At 35.0% G+C, this 22233-nt stretch overlaps 1 pseudogene across 1 annotated transcript in view; it reads left to right on the top strand.

The window, feature by feature from the left end:
* Positions 1-22155, top strand: part of DPY19L2P3 (DPY19L2 pseudogene 3) — a 57468-nt pseudogene extending 35313 nt beyond the window's left edge. Inside the window, exons 6-9 of the transcript NR_158194.1 lie at positions 3806-3852; positions 11482-11617; positions 12987-13112; positions 21681-22155. The product of NR_158194.1 is annotated as a DPY19L2 pseudogene 3, transcript variant 3 (transcript). The remainder of the gene's footprint in view (positions 1-3805; positions 3853-11481; positions 11618-12986; positions 13113-21680) is intronic.
* Positions 22156-22233: the final 78 nt, after the last annotated feature.

Raw genomic sequence — 22233 nt, forward strand, 5'->3', positions numbered from 1 at the left:
TTGCCTGAGTGATCTTATAGCAGCCAGAATCTTAAGGTATACAGAATTTGATACTTTAATATACACCTGTGCTCCCAAATTTGACTTCATGGAAAAAGCGGTATGAATGTTTCTTTTTTCCTTCTCTACTACTATGAGTTTTTGCTCTAGTTTTTTTTTAATCTGAAACTCAAAATTTTTACTCAGAAATGGTCAACTTATTTTTTTTACTGTAACTTGCTAATCCACCTTCCTCGTTTTTTTGTCTGTAAAATAAAAAAAAGATAGTCTCATATCTTACAGAGTTATTGATGATGGTTAAATGAGATAATCTGAGAAGAGTGTTTAACATACTATATGACCCGTAATAATTATTATTACCAGTCAACTACTTTTAATAATCTAGGCCACTTGGAAGTATGGGACCATTCAGGAAAAAGTCTAAATGCTTGTTTCTGTTTTTAAGAAATTCAGTTTTATTACAGTTAACACCCCAAATATTATAACATTTTTAACAAGGTGTTACCAAGAAAGGTATGCTACTGATGAGTTTTAATGAACATATAAAAATTCATTTTTAATTATACAAATGCAAGGTATTATTCTTTTTAAAAAGTTCATGCTATAAAGCTTTAAAACATAGGCTGGGCGTGGTGGTTCATCCCTGTAATCCCAGCACTTTTGGAGGCCGAGGCGGGTGGATCACGTGAGGTCAGGAGTTTGAGACCAGCCTGGCCAACATGGTGGTAACCCCATCTCTACTAAAAATACAAAAATTAGCCAGGCATGTTGGTGCATGCCTGTAGTCCCAGCCTGAGTAGGAGGCTGAGACAGGAGAATTGCTTGAACCCTGGAGGCGGAGATGCAGTGAGCTGAGATCGCACCAATGCACTCCAGCCTGGGCGACAGAGTGAGACTCTGTATCAAAAAAAAAAAGAAAAAAAAATTGGCCTCTTTGTAGAATCATGGAACACAAGATCAGGAAGGGCTCTTAGAGACCATGCCATATAGTTCTTTCATTTGCAGATAAAGAAAAACTTAAGAGATTTGCCTAAAGCACACACAAGCCAAGATCAGGACATGGATTCTAATGGATTCTAGAACTCTCAATCCAGGGCTTTCCTCTATTTGTAGCTTAATTTTTTTCATGGAACATAACAAAGTTGCTACTGGATTGATTATTCCTTGTGTAATTATTATGAATTCTGAATTAGTGGTAAGTAATAGAATTTTACATTCTTCTCTTATCCATCCAACCAATCATCCATTCATTCAAAAACTATTATTGACTATAGTTATCCATGAGGCAGTTTGCTATAGCACGGCAAAGAGGAAAATGAACTGGTTTCTTGCTTTTAAGAAATGTATAATTTAGTTACATGGTAAATTACTCCTTATCATCACAATAACAGGTCATCAGAATTAGTTAGCCAATGTTATTTCTGTACTTATTCATAGTTTTAGTAATTAACTTTGGTTAGCTTTCTTTTTAGCTCTAGTTTCACTAATGAAAATAATGGAGCTGTGTAGTATAGAAAATTACAATGTAGGACCCAGGGATCGGTAAACACGCATTTTAAAACTTAGTATTATGTAAATAAAAAAAAGAAAAGAAAAACATAATAGATATAGCAATTCTAGTTTTATTAAAATAATAAATTTTTCATTAAATTTTTGGAATACTTTTTATAACTATTTTTATAATTTTAATTATTTCATTAAGGCATGGAAGACAATAAATATATATTCTGCTGATGACAAATTTTACCTTTTACTTTTAAGGAATGTTATCATGGCACTTAGTTTGACATAGATGTTTACTAATTTAATGTAAAAATCGTAAGTAACTATTTTGAATAATTTGGTGTATTTCAGACTCCGCTGAGATACACAAAGACATTATTGCTTCCAGTTGTTATGGTGATTACATGTTTTATCTTTAAAAAGGTATTTTTAAACAAATTATTATTTGTTTTTGGCATCAATATAAGGACTATAATCATGCAAATTGCTCAGAATTTCATGTTATTTTTAGGAGAAACTCTTTCTTTCTCTAAAAGTTTGTTTTTTATTTAGATCTTTCATTATCGATCTTTTTATAAAAAGCCATGATAAAAGGTATTCTTATTTTTTCTTTCAAAAGATATATACCAGTCACCAACTGTGTATCAAGGACTACATTAACATTGTAGGTACACCCAGACAAATAAAACGTAGCCACTCCTGTCTTGGAACTTACAGTCCTGGATTATTGGGGGTGGGGGTGCAAACATGAAGCAGATAATCGCACAAATGTCTAAAGAATTAAAATTTTTATAGGTGCTATGAAAGAAAAGTCCAGTGACAACTACATTAGTATCTTTCAAATATAAAGCACAGTGAAGTCTTGATCTATTTTGAGTGGGCTTGCGTAGAAGAATTCTGTATAGCTAATTAAAAAATATTTTTCTACATGTTCACTGTTTTCATGACAGAAGAAAATAATATCTCAATAAAAGAAACAATCCTTAAAATACCACTGGCAGGTTTTGTTGGTCTGGGAGAGTTATTCTAAAAGCATGGTTAAAGACAGTGGGTTTATTTTTTTTTTTTTAGCAGTCTTGAGCTATCTTTATTTATATTATTTACAAGCTATCAAGTCTTAAGCCAGTATGTATTTATTGTATACTTTTAAGCAGATAACAATAACGCGATTTCCCTACCACCATACCAGTTGTGTTCTTGTTGAAAGTTTTCTGTATTTACAGTCAAATTGCATATCTTCTCTATGTAGTTTTAGTTGCCACACTTCTCACTCCTTTGTTTACACAGAGATGTGAGTAATTTAGGAGTGAGAAAGGCATCTCCCTCGACATCTCTGTGGTTTCACCCTTGATCCAGTTCCCTGCGGACCACGTGGAAAGGGTCAGGATAAAGGAAACCAGGAGGAATGAGTAAAATGTGAGCAGGTTTACCGCCCTGCATTCTTTCGGCCCATGCTGGCCTAGAATGAAGATTTTCTCTACTGGCCTGTTTCTTTTCCATCAAGGCAAAATGTCGAGTTATCCTTATAAGGCTCCACTTAGAGGGGCCAATGCATGAATTAACTATTCAGTGGAGAGTCAGCAATGTGAGAGAAACTGATAGCTAGATCCGCAACTCCTATATTTTAAAAAATTAAGATCCAAGACTTATAAATACATTCCTAGTCTCCAAACACACCACAACCTGAACTATGCATGTGCACTAGCAGGGGCATGTACGTACACACACACACACACACACACACATACACACACACACATCCCTGCAGCGAACCAAGTTTCATACACACACGCACACGCACACACACATACAAACATCCTTGCAGCTAGCCAAGTTTCATACACACATACACAAATGTGCACACACACACTCATCCCTGCAGCCAGCCAAGTTTCATACACACACACACACACACACACATCCCTCTAGTCGGCCAAGTTTCATACACACACACACACAACTCTCTCTCTGTCTCTCTCCCTCTCTCATCCCTGCAGCCAGCCAAGTTTCACTCCTTCCTTGCTGCTTTCTTATAAACCCCTCAGTCTTTATTTGTCCTATTGTGGCTTATTTTTCACCCCAAGGATACTTCTGATGGTCATTTAGTTTTCAATGATGTGAAGTCACTTCTCGGAAGGAGAAAAGGAAGGCATATATAGTATGATCGTCCTGTTACTGAGAACTCCCTTAAACATTAAAAAATACTTCTTTCTTTGGTGGAGTGTTTACATTAATGAATCAGAGCATTTTAAATATTGCAGTATTCCTTAGAAAAGTTTCATTGATTTGATTCTATTCACAGACTGTTCGTGATATTTCGTGTGTTTTAGCTACAAACACTTATCTAAGGTAATTATATCATCATTTTTAAAACATACTGTATTCAATTATTAAATAACTTACTGTAACATTAATTTTTCAAATGAATATGCATTAAACTTTAGCATTATGATTAAGACAGGAGATATGAACCAAACAGATGTTTTCTTAAAAATATTATTCTTACAGATTTCTTATATGTATTTGGACTTGTTTTGGAGATATTTATATTTGTGAAATAACTCAAAGTTTAAATTGATAAATTATAATTTATCATTAGAATTTAAAGTCAGTAAGCTAAAGATTTATTTTTGGAATTCCCCCCCTCCCTCCCTTCCTTCCTGCCTTCCTTCCTTCTCTCTCTCTGTCTTGCCATGCCTTGCCTTTCTTTTCTCTTTTCTTTTCTTTTTTTCTTTCTTTTGACAGAGTCTTGCTCTGTCACCCAGGCTTGAGTGCAGTGGCATGATCTCTGCTCACTGCTGCCTGGACATCCTGGGCTCAAGCGATCATCTCATCTCAGCTCTGCCAAGCAGCTGGGACTACAGGTGTGCATCACCATGCCCAGCTAATTTTTGTATTTTTTTTGTAGAGAGGGGGTTTCACCATGTTGGTCAGGCTTTTCTTTTTCTCTCTTTTTTATCTTTCAGAGGGAGTATAATTATTTGTGTTTCTGAATATTTATGAATTTTTTTCTAAACTTATTGTTAAAACTATTTATTGTATAACATTTTTGGATGGCTTTAGTAATGTCACTAGCATAAGCAGATGCCAGCAAAATGTATCATATCAGTCACACATAAGTAAATTGCTATAGGACCCAAGAAGTAAATTGTGATGAAAATTTCCTTCTGAGGGAAATATGATCTCAAATGACATGTTTTTTAGTGTTCAACTTTTATTTTAGATGCAGGGGGCACATGTACAAGCTTGTTACATGGGTATATTGTACCCAGGTAGTGAGCATAGTACCTAATAGTAGTTTTCAAGTTACATTTTATATTTGTAAGTAGAATATTTGATTTTATTTTGTGACTTCTACTTTATAGAATAGTTTTAGATTTATAGAAAAATTGTGAAGACAGTAGAGAGAATTTCCATGAACCCCATACTCCATGCTGATTGTTTCCTTTGCTGTGCAGAAGCTTTTATACTTGATGTCATCCCTTTTGTTCATTTTTGCTTTGGTTACCCGTGCTTCCCAGGTATTTACTCGAGAAATCTTTGCCCAATCCAAAGTCCTGGAGGGTTTCCCCAAAGTTTTCTTGTAGTAATTTCAGAGTTTGAGGTCTTAGATTTAAGTCTTTAATCCATTTGGATTTGAGTTTTGTATATGGCAAGAGATAGGGGTGTAGATTCATTCTTCCACATAGGGATATCCAGTTTTCCCAGCACCATTTATTGAAGAGATTGCCCTTTCCCCAATGTATGTTTTTGAGACTGCTGTGAAAAATGAGTTTACTGTAGATGTATGGATTTCTTTCTGGGTTCTCCATTCTGTTCCACTGGTCTGTGTGTCTGTTTTTATGGCAATACGGTGATGTTTTGGTTACTATACTTTTGTAGTATAATTGAAGTCAGGTATTGTGATTCCTTCAGTTTTGTTCTTCTTGCTCAGGGTAGCTTTGGCTATTCTAGGTCTTTTGTTTTTTCATATAATTAAAGATCGTTTTTTCTATTTCTGTGAGGATTATCATTAGTAGTTTGATGGGAATTGCATTGAATCTGTAGATTGCTTTGAATAATATGGACATTTTAGCAATATTGATTCTTCCAATGCTTGAACGTAGAATAGCTTTCCATTTTTTTGTGTCTTCTTCAATTTCTTTCTCCAGTTTTGTATAGCTTTCATTCTAGAGATCTTTCATTTCTTTGGTTAATTTTTAGATATTTAATTTTATGTGTGGCTACTGTAAATGGAATTACTTTTTAAATTTTCTTTTTCAGATTGTTCTCTGTTGGCATATAGAAATGTTAATGATTTTTGTATGATTTTGTGTCCTACACCATTACTGAATTTATCAGTTCTGATAGTTTTTTTTGGTGGAGACTTTAGGTTTTTCTAAATATAAGATCGTATCATCTGCAAACAATGATAATTTGACGTCTTCCTTTCAAATTTGGATGCCCTTTATTTCTTTCTCGTCTGATTGCTCTAGCTAGGATTTCCAGTACTATGTTGAATAATGTGGTAAAAAGTGAGCATCCTTGTCATGTCCCAGATCTTAGAAGAAAGGCTTTCAGTGTTTCCTCACTCAGTATGATACTAGCTGTGCGTTTGCTGTATATGGTTTCTATTATGTTCACTAATATTCCTTCTATACCCAGTTTTTTTAAGGTTTTTATCATGAAAGGATGTTGAATTTTATCAAATGATTTTTCTGCATCTATGGAGATGAGATGATCATATGATTTATTCCCCTTCATTGTGTTGATATGACGTATCATGTTGATTTGCTGTGTTGAACCATCTTTGTGTCCCTGAGATAAATCCTATTTGGTTATGATGAATAATCTTTTTAATATGTTATTGAATTCAGTTTGCTAGTATTTTGTTGAGGATTTTTGCATTAACATTAATCAGAGATTTTGGCCCGTAGTTTTCTTTTGATGGGTCTTTGTACGGTTTTGGTATTAAAGTGATATTGGTCTCATACAACGGGTTTGGAAGTATTCCCTCCTCCTCTATTTCATGGAATCGTTAGAGTGGGATTGATATTAGCTCTCTTTAAATGTTTGATAAAATTCAGCAGTGAAGCCATCAGGTCCTGGGCTTTTCTTTGCTGAGAGACTTTTCATTAGAGATTTGATCTCATTACCTGTGATTGGTCTGTTCAGGTTTTGGATTTCTATATAGTTCAATCTTGGTAGGTTTTGTGTATCTAGGGATTTATCCATTTCTAGGTTTTCCAATTTATTGGCATACAGTTGCTCATGGTAGTCTCTAATGATCCTTTAATTTCTGCGATATGGTTGTAATGTCTCCTTTTTTTATCTCTGATTTTATTTATTTGGGCCTTCTGTCTTTTTTTCTTAGTCTGGCTAAAGGTTTGTTAATTTTATCTTTTCAGAAAACCAGTTGATCTTTTATATTGTTTTCTTCATTGCAATTTCACTTATTTCTGCTCTGATCTTTATTATTTCATTTCTCCTACTAACTTTGGGTTTTGTTTGCCCTTTTCTAGTTTTTTAAGATGCATCATTGGGTTGTTAATTTGACGTTTTTCTTCTTTTTTGATGTAGGCACTTATAGCTATAGACTTCCCTCTTAATACTGCTTTCGCTGTATCCCATAGGTTTTGATATGTTGTGTTTTCATTATCATTTGTTTCCAGAACATTTTCAATTTCCTTCTTAATTTCTTTATTAACCCACTGGTCATTCAGGAGCATATTCTTTAATTTCTATGTTTGTAGAGTTTCCAAAATTCCTTTTGCTACGGATTTCTAGTTTTTTTTCCATTGTGGTCAGAGAAGATACATGATATTGTTTCAATTTTTAAAAAATTTTTTAAGACTTGTTTTGTGGCCTATCCTTGTTTTGTGGTCTATTCTTGAGGAATGATCCATGTGCTGAGGAGAAGGATGTGTATTCTGTAGCTGTTGGGTGAAATGTTCTGTAAGTATCTATTAGGTCCTTTTGATCTACAGTGCAGATTAAGTTCAGTGTTTCTTTGTTGATTTTCTGTCTAGATGATCTGTCCACTGCTGAAGGTGGGGTGTTGAAGTCTCAGGCTATTATTGTATTGGGATCTGTCTCTCTCTGTCTCTCTCTTTAGCTCTGATAATATTTGCTTTATGTATCTGTGTGCTCCAGTATTGGGTGTATACATATTTACAATTGTTATATACCCTTGCTGAATTAACCCTTTTATCATTATATAATGACCTTCTTTGTCTCTTTTTATCGTTTTTGTCTTGTAATCTATTGTGTCTGATATAAATATGGCTATTCCTGCTCTTTTATGGTTTCCCTCGGCATGGAATATAATTTTCCATCCCTTTGTTTTCTGTCTATATTTGCCTTTACAAGTAAAGTGTGTTTCTTGTAGGTAACAGATTCTTAGGGTTTTGTTTTCTTATTCAGCTACTCTTTGTCTTTTGATTGGAGAGTTTAGTCCATTTACATTCAGTGTTATTATTGATACAGACTTACCCCTGCCATTTCGTTATTTGTTTTCTCATTGTTTTGTGGTCTTCTCTTCCTTCCTCTTTTTCTTTCATTGAAGGTGATTTTCTCTGGTGGTGTGTTTTAGCTTATTGCTTTTTATTTTTTGTATATCCATTGTATGTTTTTATACTTGAGGTTACCATGAGGCTTGCAAATAATATCTTATAACCCATTATTTTAAACTGATGACAACACTGATTGCATAAACAAACAAATAAGCCAAAGGAAGAAAGCTAATAAAAATTCTAAACTTTAACTTCATCTTCCCACTTTTTACCTTTTTGTTGTTTCTATTTATATCTTATTGTACTCTCTGTCTCTTGAAAAGTTATTGTAGTTATTTTTTATTGGTTCATCTTTTTGTCTTTCTACTTGTCATATATAAGTAGTTCATATACCATAATGACACTGCTATAATATTCTGTTTCTCTGTGTACTTGCTATTACCAGTGAGTTTTGTACCTTCCGATTATTTCTTCCTCATTAATGTCCTTTTATTTCAGATTGAAGAAATTCCTTTAGCATTTCTTGTAGGATAGGTCTGGTGTTGATCAAATTTCACAGTTTTGTTTGTCTGAGAAAGTCTTCTCCTTTAGGTTTGAAGGACATTTTCTCTGGATACACTACTCTCAGGTAAAAGGTTTTTGCCTTCACTTTAAATATGTCATGGCATGCTCTCCTGGCCTGTAAGGTTTTCACTGAAAAGTCTGCTGCCAGATCTATTAGATCTCCATTGTATGTTATTTGTTTCTTTTCTCTTGCTGCTTTTAGGATCCTTTCTTTATCCTTGACCTTTGGGAGTTTGATATTAAATGACTTGAGTTAGCCTTTGGGTTAAATCTGCTTGGTGTTCTAGAACCTTCTTGTTCTTGAATATTGATATTTTCTCTAGCTTTGAGAAATTCTGTTATACTTTTGAATAAACTTCCTACTGCTATCTCTCTGTCTAACTCCTTGTCTTCAAGCTCACTAATTCTTTCTTCTGCTTGATCAATTCTGCTATTAAGAGACTGATACATTCTTCAGTATGGCAGTTGCATTTTTCAGCTCCAGAATTTCTGCTTGATTCTTTTTAATTATTTCAGTTTATTTGTTAACTTTATCTGATAGGATTACCAATTCCTTCTCTGTGTTATCTTGAATTTCTTTGAGTTTCCTCAGCACAGCTATTTTGAATTCTCTGTCTGAAAGGCCGCCTATCTCTGTCATTCCAGGATTGGCCCCCTAGTGCCTTATTTATTTTGTTTGGTGAGGTCATGTTTTCCTGAATGGTCTTGATGCTTGTGGATGTTTGTCAGTGTCTGGGCATTGAAGAGTTAGGTGTTTATTATAGTTTTTGCAGTCTGGGCTTGTTTGTACCCATCCTTGTTGGAAAGGCTTTCCAGGTATTCAAAGGGACTTTGGTGTTGTGATCTAAGTTTCTGGTTGCTGCAGCTGTATCTGCACTAGGAGACACCCCATGCCCAGTAACGCTGAAGCTATTACAGACTCTTAGAGTTACTACGTTGGTGGTCTTGGATAAAATCCAGAATTCTCAGGATTAGCAGGCAGAAACTCTTGTTCTCTTTCCTTACTCTCTCCCGTATGGAGTCTCTCTCTCTCTCTTTCTCTGTGCTAAGCTGCCTGGAGCTGGGGGTGGGGTGACATAAGCATCTCTGTGGCCACCACTAGTGGGAATGTGTTGGGTCAGACCTGAAGCTAGCACAGCACTGGGTCTTGCCCAAAGCTCATTGTAACTACTGCCTGGCCACCACCTATGTTTGCTCAAGGTGTAGGGCTCAACAGTCAGCAGGTGGCAAAGCAAACCAGGCTGGTGACCTTCCCTTCAGGGTGGCAAGATTCCCCAGGTCATAGTCAGGTCCAGAGATGCTGCTGTCCAGGAGCCAGGGCCCGGAGTGAGACACCTTAGAAATCTACCTGATGCTCTATTCTACTGCAGCTGAGCTGGTGCTGAAACCACCAAAGTCCTTCCCACCCTTCCTTCCCCTTTCCCCAGGCAGAGGGGTCTCTCTCCATTTCCACCACTACCACAGGCCCATGGGAGGTACTGCATGGCTACTGCCAACATTCACTTAAGGCCCAAGGGCTCTTCAGTCAGCTTGTGGTGAGTGCTGCCAGGCCTGGGACTCACCCTTCAGGGCAGTGGGCTCTCTTCCAGCCGAGGGCAGGTCCAGAAATGCCACCCAAGAGCCAAGGCCTGGAATCGGGGACCACAAGAGCCTGCTTGGTGCTGCTCCCCACTGTGGCCAAGCTGGTACCTAAGCTGATTTTTGGTTCTTATGAAGGTGCTTTTTGTGTAGATCATTATCAAATTTGGTGTTCCTGAGGGGAGGATGAACAGTGGAGGTTTCTACTTGGTCGTCATGCTCCACCTCCTCTCCAACATACAGTTTTTTACAGTAGAGCTGAATAATATGTCTTGTCTTTGTTACTGATTTTATTGTGCTGATTAAAAATAATAACCTTCACAATTATGTAATTGTTTTTTATACAAAAGTACCAGGAAGTAAGCATTTGGTCTTCTGGTGCTTCAAGAGATGAAATGGAAGCCAGATAGTAGATTTTGATGTATCTCTAGTTATGACCAAATTTATACATGTCATTACACCAAAAAGTACTAGCAGCAAGTAGTGAAATGATTTCATGGCATGTATAAATGGTGTCAAGTCAAATGGTAACTCTGAGAACTTAATTAAAGGTGATCTGAGGGAAGAAAACAATGTTTTCCTTTTTTTATGGCACATCCACAGGACCACAGTTCACCAGCCACAAAAGTCATTGGAAAAAATGTCCCATGAGACTTGCCCTTCATAGCAGTCTCTCAGGTCCTGGCATTTCACATTCTTGGAACAGATGTGACATTTTACATTCTTTTTGTTTCATGTGTGTCTGTAGTCCTGCTGTTAGCATGGTGCTCTAGCATAGCAGGAAGCTTCAGTGAAGCAGCTAAGAGGGCAGGCTCTGGAACTTCCTAGCTGTGCAGTCTTGGGCAAGTCACTTAACTTGGCTGTGTCTCTTCATCATCTACAACAGCAGTCCCCAACCTTTTTGGCACCAGGGACCTGTTTCTTGGAAGACCTTTTTTTTTCCACAGAACTGGGGGATGGGGGGTGGTTTCTGGATGAAATTGTTCCACCTCAGATCATCAGGCATTAGATTCTAATGAGTGCACAACCCAGACCCCTCACATGCTCGGTTTGTAGATTCTACAAAGAACAGAGGACCCACCTCTTAGAATCGTGAAAATTAAGTTATTTAATTCTTGTTAAAATATGGAGCACAATTTCTAGCACCAAGATAGCATTTAACAAAAGTCAGCTATTATTATAGTAGACAATGAATAACTATTGAGTCAATAAAAGAATGAGGTCCATGGTCTTGTAAATAGGCATCATCCTTCTTAATTCGGGTTTACATATTAGAGGTAAGTTTAACTTCTGATTTTCTTTAAAACATTTCATTGAAGAAGAGAGCCTTTTTTTTTTTTTTCAGATGCTGTCTTCGCAGTGCCATGCCTACAATGGCAAGCGTGAAGCTGTCTACACTTCATCCCATTGTGAATCATCCACATTACGAAGATGCAGACTTGAGGTTGGCGGCCGATGAGTATTTCATCAAGACTCACTTGGTGACTCCCAATTCTTAGGAATTGGGGAAATTTTTACACACACATACGCATAGACACACATACACACACACAAACTCGTCCTCATTTTCATGCTGGAAGTTAAAAAAAAATGACAATAACCATCCAGAAATGACAATACGTACCTGTTGCCTCTGGAGCAAGCAGACCTCTGAAAACTGAAAAATGCAAAAGCCAGTTTTTCCCAAAGTGACAATTGTGTCACATATTTATGATGTGTGTGTGTATTCCAGTAAAACTACTAGGTAATTGGAAGAGGAGGTAGGATGGATTTTACTCGCAGTCGTGTTTTGCCAACCCCTGCTGTACACCACAAGCCCCACTCTGATTTAAGAAATGATTTCTAGATCTTACTGGTGGCCAATGACTAGCTTTTTGTGACAGGTAGAAAAAGTACATGAAAGTTGCTATTATACACTACGTGCTTTCATGAAAATTTAGAGTATTTTTGCTAGCCGATTATGAGAACTCTAGTTTCCATTGATGGCTAAAAGTTTTGCTTTCCTTAAATGGCTGGTTTAAAAAATTATTTTGGATATTCTAGTAATTTTCAGGGTAATCTTTTTTTAAAGTGGATTTTTGGCCTATTGTTAGAGGCAAATCTTTAAATTATTTATAAGTTTTAGGTCTGCTGTCTAGGAGCCAGGGTTGGAGTCAGACACCTTAGAAATGTACCTGATGCTCTCTCTGTTCTACTGTGGTGAACTGGCATGGAAACCACTGTGGTGACTGAGCATCCCATATGCTTGAAATTCTAAGCAACATCCAATGCATAAGTGATAGTTTGTCAGGATTTTGTAAGAACTCCCACTACGGTCAAATCACCTATTGTACCATATTTTGGTGACCATCCCCATTTCTCAAGATTCTGTGAAGGTGCTTTTCCTACCTCTTCTGACACCCTGGATGCCCATTGTCTAAGTGTTCTACTTGATACACTCAATTTCAATTCATGTATTTGTCAGAGCTTCTTTAGATGAAATTAAGCATTGAAAGATATGTTTTCACTACATTCAGTCTCTGTCAGAATATATTCTCTGAAAACTTGGTGAATTATGAGAAGAAAATTTTATATCCTAAGCTGTTCTCTGCTCCCAGGACAGCTTTAGACTATTTTATATACTAATGAGCAGTATATGCAAAATTAAAATTGCTGTAAGTTTTATTACATTCAAAATATAAGTAGGAATGTGGAAACTGCCATCCCCAAAATAGTTGATGCTGTTTTGAGTCATGTATATCAGTGTTCCATCCCGTGAGTACTGAGATTTCAATTTGCTAGTACGATTTTTTTAGTCTATTCTATTATCATTCATTTTAAAATCTTTTAAACTATTGTTTAAATTTAAAGGGCCCAGACAAAAATAGTTTATTCTACATATAGTCGAAAATCTGCCAAAGAAGTAAGAGATAAATTGTTGGAGTTACATGTGAATTATTATGTTTTAGAAGAGGCATGGTGTGTTGTGAGAACTAAGTGAGTATTAACCCTATGCTATCTGATATGGTATATTTTTAAGCAACAAATGTTTCACTTTATTACAGTAGTCCTGATTCTTTAAGAAATTTTAATTTAAATTCATTAAAATATTATCCCGGTATCTTAGTTTAAATTATTTCATCTAGAGAAGTAAAATTATACTATCAATGAAGTAGAATTTAATTCCAAACATTATAGTATATTTTAATATCCTGATTTTTCAATTTAACATCTTCTACTTAGTTTTTTTCATAATTTTTGAAATATTTATGAAAATTTTTATTAGATATCTGAAATATGGATTTGAATTCACAACAAAGTGAGATATTGGCATTCTGTATTATATAGTTGAATTATATTGGATTTGTAAGACTTGAAAGTGACAAAAACCAAAATGACATAATAAGAAAAACTTCCTAATTAAAATTTTTTAATTTCTGAATTTTGAATCTCTAAAAATCATAAAATTCTAAGATGGGTAATGGATCTTTTGAGTCCTTTGTTTAGACTCCTAAGCAGAGATATTAGCTGCTGCACATGACAGGAAATTCAGGCACATTAATTGTCTCCTAGAATGATACATTGGCAATCAGAAGAACAAAACAGGTTCTACAGTCACTTCAGGATATCATTTACAATGTGCAAAAAGTTTCAGAGATGCAAACTAAAATGAGAAAGTATGACCAACACTCTGAAAAAAATAAGTTAATAGAAACCGATACAAGTAGGTCCAGATGTTGGATTTAGCAGCCAAAGACTGCAAAGCCACTATTACAAATACATTCAAAGGCTTAAGAAAAATATATTCAACGAATTAAAAGAAAACATGGTATCCATGAGTGAAGAGATATGGAATCTCAGCAGAAATAGAAACACTCCAGCCCCCATGGGAATTCTAGAGCTGAGAAGTATAGTAAATGAAGTGAAAATTATTTAAATATGCTCAACAATTTTGAGATGTAAACAGAACATTTGAACAGAAAATTCAGTGAATTTGAAGATAGATCAAGAGAGAATAGTTAATCAAAAGAACAGGAACCAAAAAGGTTGAAAAATAACCAAAGTCACAGACCTACGTAACATTAAGTAGTTCAACACATGCATAATTTTAGTATTAGATGTAATGAAAAAAAGAACATGACAGAAAAATGTTCTTTTCTGTCCATGTTCATGGACAACATTGAAGAAATGTTGTCCAAAAATTTCTCAAGTTTGATAAAAACTGCTAACTTAGAGATCTGCTAAGCTCAACAAATCCAACTGGGTGAAGCCCAAAGAAAACCAAAGCAAGGCACATTATAGTCAAAACGGTAAAATCAAAGATTAAGAGAAAATCTTGAAAATAAGAGAAAAAATGATATGCTATATAAACATCTGACTTCTCAACATAAATAGTGGAAATTAACAGACACTGGAATGATAATTCAAAGTGCTGAAGATGAAAAATCAAGAATTCTATATTTAATGAAATTATCTTTTTAAAATGGAGGCCAAAAATACATTTTTCAGATCAACAAAATCTAAGATAATTTGATTGTAACAAATTTATACTTCAGGATGGACAAGAAGTTCTGTCAGCTGATGAGAAATGATGCCAGATGGTAACTCAGATATACAAGAAATACTGAAATGTGCTGGAAATGGTAAATATGTGGCTATTAATCACTATACATTTTTCTTCTCTGAAAAGCTTTAAAAGACATTATTTAAGGCAAAGGTGATACCATTATATTTTTTACTTTATGACAGAAATTAAGTATACATGACAATAGCACAAAAATTGAGTAAATGGAAATGTATGATTTACTAGAAATAACCCAATTTAAATGGTAAGTAAATCATGATATGTTAAAGATGCTTGTTGTCATCCCTATCAAAACCACTCAAAAAATAAATAAAACAGTGGGGGAAAAAAAGAGCATAATGGCAAGCCTAGACATGGATGAGCCTGGATACATTAAGTGAAATAAGTCAGCCACAGAAGGATGAATAGTGCATGTTGTCACTTGTGGAAGCTCAAAGAAGTAGCTCATAGAAGTAGAGCAGAATTGTGGTAATTAGAGGCTGAGAGGGAAGGGTAGGGAGGAGAAGAAGATAAGGAGAGGTTGGTTAAGAGATACAAAACTACAGATAAATAGAAGGAATAAGTTCTAGTGTTCTCTGGCACTGTAGAGTGAATATTAGTTAAGAGTAACTTATGGTATATGTCAAGAAAGCCAGAACAGAGGATTCTGAATGTTCCCAGCACAAACAGGTGGTAAACATTTGAGGTGATGGATATCCTAATTACCCTGATTTGATCATTACACATTGTAATTATGCATTGAAATATCACTCTATACTCCCTAAATATGTACAAGTATTACTTGCCAACTAAAAATAAAAGGGGAAAACACCTAAACATATAACCAACTTAAGACCCAGCAATTGTATTGGGCATTTTTTCGCAGACAGGTGAAAAGTTGTGTTCACACAAAATTCTGTAGAAAAATGTCTATAGCAGCTTTATTTGTAATAGCCTAAACCTGAAACAACCCAGATGTTTTTCGCAAGGTGAATGGTTAAATAATAGTGATCTATTCATACCATGGAATACTGCTCAGCAATAGGATCAAACTATTGATACACTCAAGATCCTGCATGAATCTCCAGAGAATTGTTTGAATGAAGAAAAGACAATCCCCAAAGGTTACATACTGTATGATTCCATTTGTATAACTGTCTTCAAATGACAAAATTATAGATATGGATGATTTGTGGTTGCGAGGGGTTAGGGTGGGGTGGGAATGTGGGGGGAGTATAGTATGTGTGGCTGTACAAGGGATCTCTGTGGTGATGGAAATGCTCTCTATCACCATTCTATCAATGTGAATTATCTGGCTGTGATATTATACAAATGTTCAAGATGTTACCATGGCGGAGGACACTGTCTAAAGACTGTACAAGAGCTACTTGTATTATCTCTCACTTAATGTGGATCTCCAAATGTCTTGAAATAAAAATTTTTTTTTAAAAAGAGCACAATAGCAAGCCTATATCAAACCATATCAGTAATTTCAAAGTGAAAGAGGACTAAATTCTTCCTAACAAAAGGCGGAGATTGGCAAATTGAACACAAGAGCAAAACCTATCTATGGGCTGCCTGCAAGAGGTGCATTTTAAATACAAATATGTATATTGGCTGAAGGAAAAAGAATGGAAAAGATAGCATGTGAGTAAACATTAGAAAGCTGAAGTGAAAAATGTATAAATATCAGATAAGATAGATGTTAAGACAAAGAATATTACTACAAACGACTATGTTTTATAAGGCAAAATAGTTCAGTACAGGAGAAAGATACAATAATTTGAGTGCATATGAACTTAGAATATCAAAACATATGAAGCAAAAACTGACAGAACCCAAAAGGCAACAAACAAGATTAAAATGGAATTATAAAAATCACTCAATCCAAAATAAGGCAGAAGAAGTGGAAAAGGGAGACAAAGATCAGGTGGAACAGAGAGAAAACACCAAGATGACAGACTTAAATCTAACCATATCAATTATCACATTAAGTGTAAATGGACTTGTGGTAGGCTGAATAATGAGCCGCCCACGATGGCTGTGTCCTAATTCCCAGAAATTGTGAATTACGTTACTCACATGGAAAAAGGAAATCTGCAAATGTGATTAAGTTAATGCTCATGAGATGTGGAGATTATCCTTATTATCCAGGTAGGACAAATGTAATCACAAAGTCTTTATAAGGAGGAGGCAAAAGAGTAAGAGATCAAAAAGGCGATGTGATGGTAGAAGCAGAAGTTGGAGTGATATAAGGCCACAAGCCAAGGAAGGAGGCCAGCTTCTAGGGCTGGAAAAGGCGAGGAAGTGGATTTTCTTCTAGAGCCTCCTGAAGGATTGGAGCCCTGCCAATACCGTGATTTTAGACTTATGAGCTCCAAAATTTGAAAGGGAATAAATACATGTTGCTTTAAGCAACTGTTTATGGTAATCTGTTATAGCAGCAATAGGAAATGAATATAGCTCTAAACACCACAAATGAAAAGCAAGAATTGTCAGATTGCATAGCAAAGCAAGACCCTACTATAGGCTACTTTCAAGAAATGTATTTAAATATAAAGAAACAAAGAGGTTAAAAGTTAACAGATAGGAAAAGGACATGTGATGCTACTACTAGTCAGTGAAAGCTGGTGTGGCTGTAATAACATCAAAGTACATTTGAATGCTAAGAATATTATCAAGGTTAAACAAGGATTTTTAAATGAAGAAGGGATCTATATTTCAAGAGGATGTAGCAACTCTGAACATTTATGCACTTACATAACAGCTTCAAATATATGAAGCACAACTGATAGAACTTTACGAAAAAATAGACAAATCTACAGTATAGTTAGAAATTTTAATAGCCTTCTCTAAATAATTTGTAGAATAAAAAGAAATTTAGCAAGAATACAGAAGACTTGAATAACGCCATCAACCAATATGACCTAATTGACATTTATAGTACACACCACCCTAGAACAGCAAAATAGACATTCAAGCACACGCAGACTATCAAAAAAGACCATTTTCTAGGCCACAAAACAAGTACTGACACATTTAAAATACTTTAGATCATGTAAAGTACAATATCTGACTACAATGAAATTAAATTAGAAATCAGTAACAGAATTCTGTATGGAAATTCCCTCAAATGTTTAGAAACTAAGTAATACACTTCCAAATAATCCATGGTCAAGAAGAAACAAAAGGAGGGTTAGTTTCAACGTATTTTGACCTAAGGGAAAATGAGAACACCATCCCGCTATTTGGGATGCAGATACAGCAGTAGAGAGATTTGTTTTTATGTTGAATGCCTATAATAGAAAAAGAAGAAAGGCCTCATATCAGTCACTCGGCTTCACCTTAAGCAACTAGAAAAAAAGAACAAGTAAACTCCAAAGTAAGGAGAAGAAAAGAAAGCATAAAGATTAGAATCAAAATCAGTGTGAATTACCCCCAAAACAGGGAAAAGTCAATAAAACCAAACACCGATTCTTGAGAAGATTACTAAAATTGATTAACTTCTACCCAAACTAAAAGGATGAAGGCAGAAATTACTAATATCAGGAATAAGAAAGATTTTATCACTACAGGAATCTGAAGAAATGAAAAGGATAATGAGGGAGTTTTAGGAACAACTTTACTGCACTAAGTAGGACAAAATAGATAAAATGGACAAGTTCTTTGAAAGATCCAAAACCAAAGCTCACTTAAGAAACAGAAAATCTTATATCTATTACCTTATTATGAATGACCTTATATCTGTTAATAAAATTATACTTATAGTAAAAAGAATTGTCACAAAGAAAACTTTAAGACAGATATCTTCACTGGAAATAATTCCAGTTCTACAAACTATTCCAGAAAATTCAAAAGGAGGGATTACTTCCCAACTGGTTCTGTGAGGTCAGCATTATCCTGATACCAACATGAGAGAAACATTATAGTAAAAGGAAACAACCAATCAAAATTTATCATGAACACATATGTGAAATTTTTAAGTAAAATTGCAACAAATGAATCCAGCAATATATTAAAGAAAGACAATATATAATGTGCAAGTGGAGTTTATCCCAGGAATGCAAAGTTGTCTCACTATTTGAAAACCAATCAGGTGAATTCACCACAGTAACAAACTGAAAAAGAAAGACCGCATCATCGCGCATCATCCTCTCAGTACATTCAGGAAAAAGTATTTGACACAATTCAGTATCCATAACTGATTAAAAACCCTCAGCAAACTAGGAGTAGAAGGTAACTTGCTACTAAGAATCCAAGAATATAAAATTTCTAGAAGAAAATATGGAAGAAAATTATTGTAACCTTGGATTACGCTAAGATTTCTCAGATACAGTAACATAATCATGATCCACAGGAGAACATATTGATAAATAGGACTTCATAACTGTAAGCCTCTGCTTTTTTATAAACAGTGTTAGGAAGAATTAAGATAAACCACAGTCTGGGAGAAAATATTTTCAAAGCCTATGTCTGATAAAGGACTTTCTCTAGATGTATAAAGAACTCTCAAAACCCAATAATAATAAAACAACCCAATTAGAAATGGACAAAATAGGCTGGGTGCAGTGGGTGGCTCACACCTGTAATCCCAGGATTTTGGGAGGCTGAGGTGGGTGGATCACCTGAGGTCAGTAGTTCAAGATCAGCCTGGCCAACATGGCGAAACCCCATCTCTACTAAAAATACAAAAAGTTAGTCAGGCATGATGGTGGGCGCATATAATCGCAGCTACCCAGGAGGCTGAGGCAGGATAATCGCTTGAACCCAGGAGATGGAGGTTGCAGTGAGCCGAGATGGTGCCATTGCACTCCACTCGGTGACAGAGCAAGACCTTGTCTCAAAAAAGAAAAAAAAAAAAAAAAGACAAAAGGACAGATGGCAAATAATCACACAAAAAGATGCTTGATGTTACTAGTGATTTGTGAAATGCAAATGCCAATTACAGTGAGATATCGCTAAACAATAAAATAGCTATAATTGAAAAAAAAAACTGATCATGCCAAGTGTTGCTGACACTATGGAGGACTTAGAACTCTCATACACCAGTGGTGCAAAAGTAATATGGTACAACCACTCTGCAAGACAGTTTAGCAATTTTATAAAAAGTTAAACATACAACTACTATATTTATTAAGATAAAAGAAAGCATATATCCATCCCAGTAATTGTACACAAATGTTCATAGCACCTTATTTTCTGTAATAGCCCCAAACTGGAAACAACCCACTTATTTATCAACAGATGAATGTATAAACACACTACTAGAATATCCAAACAATGTAAATACTAGTCACTAATAAAAATGAACAAACTATTGAACAGCAATATGGATGGATCTCAAAATAATTCTACTGAGGACAAGAAGCCAGACAAAAAAGAAAGCATGCAATAATTAGGATTACAAGCAAGCAGAAGTAAACTTTTGGGAGAGATGGATATGTTCATGATTTTTATTGTGGCTGCTGTTTTACAGGTGTATACATATGTTAATATGTATCAAAGTGGATACTAAATATGTGCAGCTTATTGAGTAATTATTGAACAGTTATGCCTTAATACATCTGCTAAAAAAAATCTGGCAGACTTTTACCCAGAATATACAAAGAACTCTCACACCTCAATAAGAAACAACACAAAATTTGGCAAAATATTTGAATAGACATTCCACCAAAGAAGATATTTTGAATCATCCATAACCATACTATAATGATTAAAATTACAAAAACTGATACAACTTAAACTCTCATGCATTGTTGGTGGAAATGAAAAATGGTGCATCTACTCTGGAAAACAGTTTTGAACTTGCTTATAAAGATAAATCCACATTTAATCATACATAACCATGCAACCGAGCAATTCCACTCCTAGGTGTTTCCCTAAGAGAAATGATAACATATGTCCACAAAAAGCCTTGTCCATGAATGTTTATAGTGGCATTGTTCATGGTCACCAAAAACTCAAAACATCTCAAATGTTCATTAACTTGCAAATGGATAAACAAATTGCGTTCTCTATATACAATGAAATATTATTTAGCAACAAAAAGCAAGGAACTACTGAACCACAACAGAAGTTGTAGGAACTACAGCTCAGATATGAGTATCAAAAACATGCTATGGTAAAGAAGCCAAAAATGAAAAGACTACATAATATATTTATATGAAATCCTAGAAAAAGAAAACTATAGCGCAGAAAACACAGTAGTTGCCTGAGGCCATGTTTGGGGAAGGTGGTAGATTGCAAAAGGGCACAGGGAACTTGTGGGAGTGATGGAAATTTTCTGTATTACGATTGTGGTAGTGCTTACACATCTATACACATTTGCCCATACCTGGCAAACTTTACACATAAAATAGGTGAAATTTTATTGTGTATAACTTATACTTCAATATAAATGTTAAAAAATTAGAAATCAATTTTGTCTGACTCCTTCCCTTTAATGACTGCCATCCAGGATTACTCTCTAGGGAGGAGAGTGTCTCATTTAGCCCAGTCATAGAGCCACCCAAAATGGGAAAGAATTGAAGAAAACAAATTGCCATAAGAGTCTCCTGTCCCTGCCTTGGATGATTTCATGCTAATCCAAGGCAGTTTATGCTAAAAAAATATGAAATTCATCAGGAATTGAATTAGGTTTTAATTTATCTTATTTTACTGCAAATGGGCCTTATGTTTAGATGGTGATGGCACTTGGAAAGTATTTTTATGTTTGTTTCATCTTGAAAGTGAGCTTTTAAATACGTATTTATGAATGTATATTGAAGCTTTATTATTAGGATATGTCTTTCATTTGGTTAAATGAGATGTGAAAAGGCAACATACTTAATTTCATTCTATTTTTTAAATTTCTAAACATTGAAATTATGTTTTTTGAAATGACGCTTTAAAATATTTAACATTAAATAAATTTGTCTCTGAAAATCTAGATGTGTGTTATGTATCTATTTTCTCTAGACAGGAATACATTTCTAATATGGATATATATGTCTTTTTTTCAGGCCTGGTTGCAGTATGCTTGAAATCTGGGATGTGGAAGACCCTTCCAATGCAGCTAACCCTCCCTTACGTAGCATCCTGCTCGAAGATGCCAGGCTCGAAGATGCCAGTATTTCAGAATAGTGTGTACAGAGTATTGAAGGTTAACTGAGAAGGAAACTACCCATTACACTATGGCACAATGCCGTGTGTCAAAAACAATCACCCTTTGGCTTATTTACATTAATAAAAATCACAAGCTTTAATAACAGACACTTAAAAATAAGATAAAAATGGATTGAAAGTTTTTCTGATTACTAAAAGGTAAATTACTTTTCTGTTCATTGAATGTCAGCCTTATTAAGCTTGTCATATAAATTATTCAATCATGTCATACTGCATAAACAAATGTTCATTTCAGAGTTTTAAAGAGAAATGTATATAAAAGAACAATGAATTTTAATAAATCAAGGGTACGTAAGTCCCTTTTCATCCACCTAGGTGAATTGCTTCAGATTTTCTCTAGTACCAGAGTGTACCCGCTCAAACTCTTTGAACCACTTAGGGCAGAGGAAT

Source organism: Homo sapiens, chromosome 7 (assembly GCF_000001405.40).
Source record: "Homo sapiens chromosome 7, GRCh38.p14 Primary Assembly".
Lineage (NCBI taxonomy): Eukaryota > Metazoa > Chordata > Mammalia > Primates > Hominidae > Homo > Homo sapiens.